At 47.0% G+C, this 9,408-nt stretch overlaps 1 long non-coding RNA gene across 43 annotated transcripts in view, besides 2 other annotated features; it reads left to right on the top strand.

Moving 5' to 3' along the window:
• Positions 2,166-2,445: a silencer, noted in NCBI's record as "silent region_8621". NCBI's record gives its function as "represses an Ori minimal core promoter by ATAC-STARR-seq in GM12878 lymphoblastoid cells {active_cell/tissue: GM12878}" and the evidence as "EXISTENCE:reporter gene assay evidence [ECO:0000049][PMID:35858748]".
• The window catches only part of LOC101927060 (uncharacterized), a 117,500-nt gene continuing 110,258 nt past the window's right edge, over positions 2,167-9,408 (top strand). For all 43 annotated transcript variants that reach the window (XR_007065805.1, XR_243711.6, XR_007065812.1 and 40 more), the window contains exon 1: positions 2,167-2,617. This is a non-coding gene — a long non-coding RNA (uncharacterized LOC101927060). The remainder of the gene's footprint in view (positions 2,618-9,408) is intronic.
• Positions 3,740-4,365: an enhancer, noted in NCBI's record as "H3K4me1 hESC enhancer chr17:45175453-45176078 (GRCh37/hg19 assembly coordinates)". NCBI's record gives its function as "activates a minimal SCP1, AML or CMV promoter by ChIP-STARR-seq in naive H9 embryonic stem cells {active_cell/tissue: H9 hESC(naive)}" and the evidence as "EXISTENCE:reporter gene assay evidence [ECO:0000049][PMID:30033119]".

Raw genomic sequence — 9,408 nt, 5'->3', positions numbered from 1 at the left:
ATCCCAGCACTTTGGGAGGCTGAGGTAGGTTGGCCACGACATCAAAAGTTCAAGACCAGCCTGGCCAAGATTGTGAAACACTGTCTCTACTAAAAATACAAAAGTTAGCCTGGCGCAGTGGCAGGTGCCTGTAATCCCAGCTACTCGGGAGGCTGAGGCAGGAGAATCACTTGAACCTTGGGGGGGCAGAGCTTGCAGGGAGCCAAGATCGTGCCACTCCAGCCTGGGTGACAGACTGAGACTCCATCTCAAAAAACAAAAAAAAGAAAAAGAAAGAAAGAAAAAGAAAGAGGTAATTCTGGGTGCCGCCATGGAAATGGTAAACTGACATGGTGCACTGGTGAGCGTGTCTTATGGAAAGCTGCTTTCACCCTGTCCCTGTTTCAGCTAGTCATCAATTTGGTCTGGTGTCCAAGCCCCACCTCTGGAGTCCAGTTCCACCTCCTAACTCAGTGTGGGCTTTATTACCTGGCTTGCCTTCTTGAAGTGGCCTCGCATGGCAGAGAGAAAGCTAGAGACCTCTCTGGGGCCTCTTCTCATAAATATACTAATTCTATTAAATCAGGGCCCAGTTTTATGACCTTATGTGACCTTAATTACTTCCCATAAATCCCTTTTTTTTTTTTTTTTTTGGAGACAGCGTCTTGCTCTGTCACCCTGGCTGGAGTGCAGTGGCATGATCTTGGCTCACTGCAACCTCCACCTCCCCGGTTCAAGCAATTCTCCTTCCTCAGCCTCCTGAGTAGCTGGGACTACAGGCGTGCACCACCACACCTGGCCAATTTTCATTTGTTTGGTTTTTTTGAGACTGAGTCTTGCCTTGTCACCTAGGCTGGAGTGCAGTGGCACGATCTCGGCTCACTGCAACCTCCACCTCCTGGTTCCGGTGATTCTCCTGCCCAAGCCTCCCAAGTAGCTGAGATTACAGGCGTGCACCATTGCAGCCGGGTGATTTTTGTATTTTAGTAGAGATGGAGTTTCATGATGTTCCCAGGCTGGTCTCGAACCCCTGACTTCAAATGATCAACCCGCCTCGGCCTCCCAAAGTGCTGGGATTAAATGCGTGAGCCATCATGCCTGGGCAATTTTTGTATCTTTTTAGTAGAGACAGAATTTCACCATGTTGGTCAGGCTGATCTTGAACTCCGGATCTCAAGTGATCTGCCCGCCTTGGACGCCCAAAGCGTTGGGATTAGTGGCGTGAGCCACTGCACCTGGTCAAATCCCTTTTTTTATTTTTTACTTTTTAATTATTTTTTTCTTTTGAGATGGAGTTTCCCTCTTGTTGCCCAGATTGGAGTGCAATGATGTGATCTCGGTTCACTGCAACCTCCGCCTCCTGGGTTCAAGTGATTCTTCTCTCTCAGGCTCCTGAGTAGCTGAAATTACAGGCATGCACCACCACACCCTGCTAGTTTTTGTATTTTTAGAAGAGACGGGGTTTCACCATGTTGGTCAGGCTGGTCTCAAACTCCTAACCTTAGGTGATCCACCTGCCTTGGCCTCCCAAAGTGCTGGGATTACAGGTGTGAGCCACCGTGCCCGGCCCAAATTTCTTCTTGAAATAACATTTTAAATGAATAAAATAAAAGATGTATACTCAACAAATTAGGAACAGAAAGAAACTTCCTCAACCTAAATGAAGAGCATCTATTAACAACTCACAGCTAATACTTTGTGTGTGTGTGTGTGTGTGTGTGTGTGTGTGTGTGTGTGTGTGTGTGTGTATTTTATATACCTATATAACATCTCTCCCTATGGCTTTCCGGCCTGGAGTTTTCATCACGTCGCTTCCTGGATGAAGGAACCTCGAGGGGTGAGGGGCAGGGGTTGGGGGTGATGGAGAAGAGAACCTAAAGGGGACTTAGGTAGGGGGTTCAGAGTAGCCGACTGGCGTGACGCTTTGCCGGGATTCCTATTCCTATTCCTCCCACCTCAGGCCCCCTTCTAGTCCTCTCGGCCAAAAGCCTCTCGTTTCCAAGGGCCGAGATAGAGACAGAGACAGACAGATACACAGACACAGAAATGCCAAGGCACCAGCTTCCCTCTCCCCTTTCTGTCCCGCCCCATCGCTCTGACGGACACCATCAGTCAGCCAATGGCGCTCACGATGTGCCCCTGAAGGGCCAATGAGCGCCAGAGGAGGGCGGAAGATTCCCCGCCCCCACTTCTAGGCTTGGTTGAGCCGCGCAGGAAGGTCCGAGGCTGGGGGAGCAGCCGTTGGCTCTGGTGCCCCTGGGGGTGGGAGCACGAGTGGGCAAGGATGATGGTGAGGCAGAGGAGGCGGCCCCGAGGGAGCGCCCGGCTGAGAGGCGGGGGGCCGAGGGGCCCGGGGAGCGGGCGTCACCGAGGGCCCTGGAAGCGGCAGGGCTGGGGGAGAGGAGACGCGTGTGTGGAGCATGGGGACCCCAGCCCAGCTCCCACTTGCAGACCTGGGCCGCGGGCTGCCGGCCGAGTGGCCGGGGGGCCTGGCTGCCCAGGAGGCGGGCCGGGGCCGCGGCCGGGGGCGCGGAGCGGAGTTAGGGTCGCCAGGCCGAGCCGAGGTGGGACGGACCGACGCAGAGAGGAAGGGAAGCCACCTGGCCTGAAGATCCTGTCTCTAAGATCCCATTCTGAGGTACTGAATGTTAGGAGTACTACATATCTCCTTTTTTTTTCTTTTTCTTTTTTTTTTTGAGACGGGGTCTTCCTCTGTCATCCAGGCTGGAGTGCGGTGGCACTTGGATCACTGCAACCTCCAGCCCCCTCATCCCCGGGCTCAAGCAATCCTCCCACCTCAGCTTCTCGAGTAGCTGGGACTACAGGTGCGCACTACCACACCTGGCTATTTTTGTGTATTTTTAGTAGAGACGGGGTCTTGCCATGTTGCCCGGGCTGATCTTGAACTCCTGAGCTCAAGTGATCCTGTGGCCTTGGCCTCCCAAAGTGCTGGGATTACAGGCATGCGCCACTGTGCCCAGCCCCCTGGAGTACTACCTATCTCTTTTAGGGAACAAAAGTCAGCCCAGAACAGGTGTATGTCATTTATCATGGGTACTAGACCCTCAACACCTACACATAGGAAATGAAAATTGATAGCATGAATTAAAGTAGATTATTTCTTTAGCGTCTCATGTATTCTTAACAAGATTTTTGTTTTATCTTTGAAACTTTTTTTTTGAGACGGAGTCTTGCTCTTTCGTCCAGGTTGGAGTGCAGTGGCGCGATCTCGGCTCACTGCAACCTCCGCCTCCTGGGTTCAAGCGATTCTCCTGCCTCAGCTTCCCCAGTAGCTGGGATTACAGGCACCTGCCACCACACGTGGCTAATTTTTGTATTTTTAGTAGAGACGGGCTTTCATCATGTTGGCCAGGCTGGTCTCGAACTCCTGACCTCACGTGATCTGCCCGCCTTGGCCTCCCAAAGTGCTAGGATTACAGCCGTGAGTCACCGAGCCCGGCTCATACTCTTGGTTTCCTCTGCAGACTTATTTCCTCTTTTGCTCCTAAAAACATTAGTATTTGCCTTCCCTTGACCCTTTCTCCTCTCACCCTGTGCAGTTTCTGAGGAGCATTTCTAAAAAATTATCAATCTTCTGTTTATACTTCTTCATTTGGGGAAGTACCTCAGCATCTACCCATAATTATCTGTGTCTCAATTATGTCCAGTCTACAGTAAATGTACTCATTCTGTGGCCACTCAGGTCTTTAAAAAAATAATCTTTAGGGCCGGGTGTGGTGGCTCACTCCTGTAATCCCAGTGCTTTGGGAGGCTGAGGCAGGTGGATCACGAGATCAGGAGATTGAGACCATCCTGGCTAACACGGTGAAGCCCCGTCTCTACTAAAAATACAAAAAAACAAAATTAGCGGGGCGTGGTGGTGGGCGCCTGTAGTCCCAGCTACTCGGGAGGCTGAGGCAGGAGAATGGCGTGAACCCGGGAGGTGGAGCTTGCAGTGAGCCGAGATCGCGCCACTGCACTCCAGCCTGGGCGACAGAGCGAGACTCAGCCTCAAAAAAAAAAATCTTTACTTAGAATCTTATCAAGAGTTTTGTGAAAGCTCACATAAATTATATTCACATATTTATTTTCTCAGAGAATTTGGGTGAACTGGTGTGGTGTGATTTCCACTTTTAGAATCCATGTTGTCTTTTCCTCAGAAGGTTATTCATGCTGGTATGTCTTCTGAGCCCATCTTTATTAGAGATTTGCCAGTTTGGGCAGTTTGAAGTTGCAGCCTACTTGAGTGGATGGGAGTTACTTTGATGACAGCATTTTTTTGTTCATTTTGGTTCAGCACATATTTGTTGAGTACCTAATATGCCAGAAGTTGAGCAAGGAAAATGTTGATAAAGGAAAAGTGGATTCTATCCTCCTGGCATTTAGAGAAGGTCACTCATATGACCGTCAGCTAATATGTTCTGTCCTGCAGTTTAATAATTTATACTTAAATGCCTTTAAAACACAGAGAAGGGGCCAGGCGCAGTGGCTCACACCTGAAATCCCAGCACTTTGGGAGGCCGAGGTGGGCGGATCACTTGAGGTCAGGAGTTTGAGACCAGCCTGGGCAACACAGTGAAACTCCATCTCTACTAAAAATACAAAAATTAGCCGGATGTGGTAGCGCACGCCTGTAATCCCAGCTACTTGGGAGGCTGAGGTGGGAGAATCTCTTGAACCCGGGCAACAGAGCTTGCAGTGAGCCGAGATGGTGCCACTGCACTCCAGCCTGGGCAACAGAGTGAGACTGTCTCAAAAAGCAAACAAACAAAAAACCCATAGAGACTATTTTGGGTCTTCATGACTACCTGACATCTGACATGTCAGTTTGAGGAATTTAGTATATTTAATGATGCATTTGATTCACTATTAGTGATTTGTATGTTTTAAAGAGTAATTTAGATAGCTTTTTCCCCTCTATCTTCCCCAGTAAATATTGAAGCAAATAAGAATTATATATACCAGCTGTCTTGCTTTTTATCCACTGTTTATATCCTGTTTATCAAGTGACCCACCCAGTTTTATTTGGCACTAGCTTTTTATATATTTAAACTGTCTCTGAGGTCGCTTTGCATTTTCTTTTTTTTGAGATGGAGTTCTGCTTTTGTCGCTCAGGCTGGAGTGCAATCTTGACTCCCTGCAACCTCTGACTCCCAGGTTCAAGCGATTCTCCTGCCTCAGCCTCCGAAGCAGCTGTGAGTGCAGGCATGCGCCACTACGCCTGGCTAATTTTTGTAAGTTCTTTTTTTTTTTTTTTTTAGTAGAGATAGAATTTCACCATGTTGGCCAGGCTGGTCTTGAACTCCTAACTTCAAATGATCTGCCTCCCCTCGGCCTCCCAAAGTGCTGGGATTACAGGCGTGAGCTACTGCGCCCGGCTTGCATAATTTTCTTGGAAGCTTTTTTTTTTTTTGAGAGAGAGTCTTGCTCTGTTGCCCAGGCTGGAGTACAGTTGTGGGATCTTGGCTCCCAGCACCCTCCACCTCCGGGTTCAAGTGATTCTCTTTCCTCAGCCTCCCGAGTAGCTGGGACTACAGGCGTGTGCCACCACACCGGGTAATTTTTGTCTTTTTAGTAGAGTCAAGGTTTCACCATATTGGCCAGGCTGGTCTCGAACTCCTGACCTCAGGTGATCCATCCACCTTGGTCTCTCAAAATGCTGGGATTACAGGCGTAAGCTACCGCATCTGGCCTCTTGTAAGGTTTTAATTGTTGTTTTGCCTGCATAGGTCTTAGTGCCCCTGACCACTTTATGGTCTTTTATTGTTTTTCCTCATTTGCACTATTCTTCTGTTTTGAGGAAAGTTTTTCATCCCACTTCCCCCTTTCCATGCTCGTTAGAAATTTAAGATTTTTGGTTGAGGCTGGGCATGGTGGATCACACCTGTAATCCCAGAGTTTTAGGAGGCCAAGGCAGGAGGATTGCTTCAGGCCAGCAGTTCTAGACCAGCCTGGGCAACAGAGTGAGACCCCTGTCTCTACAAAAAATAAAAACAATTAGCTGAGGATGGTGGCACACGCCTATAGTCCTCATTACTCAGGGGGCTGAGGCAAGAGGATCACTTGATTGAGCCTAAGAGTTTGAGGTTACAGTGAGCTCTGATCACACCACTGCCCTCGAGCAGCCTGGGTGACAGTGAGACCCTGTCTCTAAAAAAAATAAAATAAAAATTTTGGTTGGGCACCTGTTTTGATCTATTGCTCTTAGTAAAATATTTAGAAGTCCATCCATATCTACGCTTTGTATGGCACATTTGCTTTTTTTATTTTTATTTTTATTTTTGAGACAGGGTCTTTCTCTGTCACCCAGGCTGGAATGCAGTGGTGCAATCATGGCTCACTGCAGCCTCAACCTCCTGGGCTCAAGTGATCCTCCCACCTCAGCCTCCCAAGTAGCTAGGACTAAAAGTATGTGCCACCATGCCCAGCTACTTTTAAAATTTTTTTGTAGAAATTGAGTCTTATTATATTGCCCAGGCTGGTCTCAAATTCCTGAGCTCAAGTAATCCTCCCACCTCAGCCTCCCAAAGTGTTGGGATTACAGGTGTGATCCACTGTTCCCTGCTATTTTTTTTTTTTTTTTTTTTTTTTGTAGAGATGTGACCTCCTTATGTTGCCCAGGCTGGTCTTGAACTCCTGGGCTCAAGCAGTCCTCTCTCCTTAGCCTCTGGAAGTGCTGGGAGTACAGGTGTGAGCCACTGCACCTGGCCCTAAACATTCTTGTGTAAGTTTTTGTTTGGATACCTCTTTTCAGTTCTCTTGGGTATATTCCTAAGGCTAGAAGTGCTGGGTGATATGGTAATTCTAACTTTTTTAGTAACCACCAAAACTATTTTCCAAAGCAGCTGGACGATTTTGTATTTCTAGCAGCATGTGAAGGTGCCGGTTTCTCCACAGTCTTGCCAACACTTTGTAATTGTCTATCTTTTTTTATTTTTTGATTATAGCATCCTAGTGGATGTCAAGTGGTATATCATTGTGGTTTTGAATTGAATTTTCCTGATGACTAATTATAAGATATCTCCCTCCCTCCCTCCCTCCCTTCACTCCCTCCTTCCCTCCCTCGCTTTGCTCTCTCCTTCCCTCCTCTCCCTCCCTCCCTCCCTTCCTTCTTTCCTTTTTCTTTTTTTTCATTTTGACAAAGTGTTGCTCTGTAGCCCAGACTGTAGTGCAGTGGCACGATCACAGCTTACTGCAGCTAAGACCTACTGGGCTCAAGTGATCCTCTCACCTCAGCCTCCCAAGTAGCTGGGACTAGAAGTGTGTACCACCACACCCAGCTGGTTATTTATTTATTTATTTATTTATTGAGATGGAGTCTCACTCTGTCACACAGACTGGAGTGCAGTGGCGTGACCTCAGCTCACTGCAGCCTCTGCCTCCTGGGTTCAAGAGATTCTCCTCCCTCAGCCTCCCAAGTAGCTGGCTCTACAGGCCCTCGGCTAATTTTTGTATTTTTAGAAGAGATGGGGTTTCAGCATTTTGGCCAGGCTGGTCTCAAACTCCTGACCTCACGTGATCAGCCTGCCTCAGCCTCCCAAAGTGCTGGGATTAAAGGCATGAGCCACTGTACCTGGCCTTTTTTGTATTTTTTGTAGAGATGGGGTTTTGCCATGTTGCCCAGGCTGGTCTCAAATTCCTGGGCTCAAGCAGTCCCTGCACCTTGGCCTCCCAAAGTGTTGGGATTACAGGCCTGATCCCCTGTGCTCAACTTGATGAGATCTTTTCATGTGCTTATTGGCCATTCATATATCTTCTTTGGAGAAATGTCTATTTAAATTCTCTGCACATTTTAATTTTATTTTTATACACCTATTGTTTTTTAGGCTAGGTCTTGCTCTGTCGCTCTGGCTAGAGTGCAGTGGCCAATCGTAGTTTTCTCTTTTTTTTTTTTTTTTTTTTTGAGATGGAGTCTTGCTCTGTCACCCAGGCTGGAGTTCAGTGGCACTATCTTGGCTCACTGCAATCTCTGCCTCCTGGGCTCAAGTGATCCTCTGCCTCAGCCTCCCAAGTAGCTGGGATTAGAGGCACCCACCACCACGCCCAGCTAATTTTTGTATTTTTAGTAGAGATGGGGTTTCACCATCTTGGCCAGGTTGGTCTTGAACTCCTGACCTCATGATCCAGCCGCCTTGGCCTCCCAAAGTGCTAGGATTACAGGCGTGAGCCACCGCACCTGGCCCAATCATGGTTTCTGGAACCTCAAACTCTTGGACTCAAAGGTTCCTTCTGCCTCAGGCTCATGAGTAGCTAGGACTACAGGTGTGTGCCACCATGCCTGGCTAATTGTTTTTTTTTATTATTATTAATTTATTTTGTAGAGACAGGGTCTTGCTATGTTGCTCTGGCAGGTCTCAAAATCCTTGCCTCAAGGGATCCTCTCCTTCTGGTGTGAGCCACCGTGCTCAGCCTTTGCCCATTTTAAAATTGGATTCTCTTTTTATTGTTCAGTTGTAAGAGTTCTTTAAATATACTAGATGCAAATCCCTTGTGAGATACATGATTTGCAAATATTTTCTCCCATCTATGGGTTGTGTTTTCAATTTCTTGATGGTGTCCTTTAACATACAAAATGTTATAATTTTGATGAAGTCCAATTTACTTGTTTTTTCCTTTGTTGCATGTGGTTTTGATGTCAGGCCACCAAATGAAATGAAGATTAGCTTTTGTTTTCTTCTAGGAATTTTATTGTTTTAGCTGTTACATTTAGGTCTATAATCCATGTTTAAATTTAATTAGAATTAATTTTTGTGTATAGTGTGAGATACAGTGGTCCAACTTCATTCTACCGCATGTGAATATTCAGTTGTCCCAGCATGGTTTGTTGAAAAGACCATTGTTTGTTTCTTGTAGAGATGGGGTCTTGCTTTGTTGCCCAGGCTAGTCTCGAACTCCTGGCCTCAAGCAGTCCTCTTGCTTCGGCCTCCCAAAGTGCTGGGACTACAGGTGTCAGCCACAGCACTTGGCTTAAAAAGACCATTCTTTCCTCCACTGAATTCTCTTGGCATTCTTGTCAAAAAAATCAATTGACTGTCAGTGTAAGGGTTTATTTCTGAACCCACAATTATATTCCATTGATCTGCATGTTTATCCTTATACCACTACCACACTGTCTTGATTTCCGTAGCTTTGAATTATGTTTTCAAATCAGGAAGTGTGAGTCCTCCAGCTTTGTTTTTCCTTTTCAAGATTCTTTTGGGTATACTGGGATCCCATTGGTGGTTCTGTAGATCAATTTAGGGAATATTGCCATTTTAACAGTGTTACATCTTCTAATCCATTCTCATCCATGAACATAGGATGTCTTTCCTTTTTTTTTTTTTTTTTTTTGAGACACAGTTTTGCTCTGTCATCCAGGCTGGAGTGAAGTACAGTAGTGCAATCACAGCTCACTGCAGCCTTAAGTAGGTTCAAGTGATCTTCCCTCCT

Source organism: Homo sapiens, chromosome 17 (assembly GCF_000001405.40).
Source record: "Homo sapiens chromosome 17, GRCh38.p14 Primary Assembly".
NCBI classification, from domain to species: Eukaryota; Metazoa; Chordata; class Mammalia; order Primates; family Hominidae; genus Homo; species Homo sapiens.
Note: the sequence above shows the minus strand (reverse complement) of the source record. Positions and strands in the feature narration are given on the sequence as shown.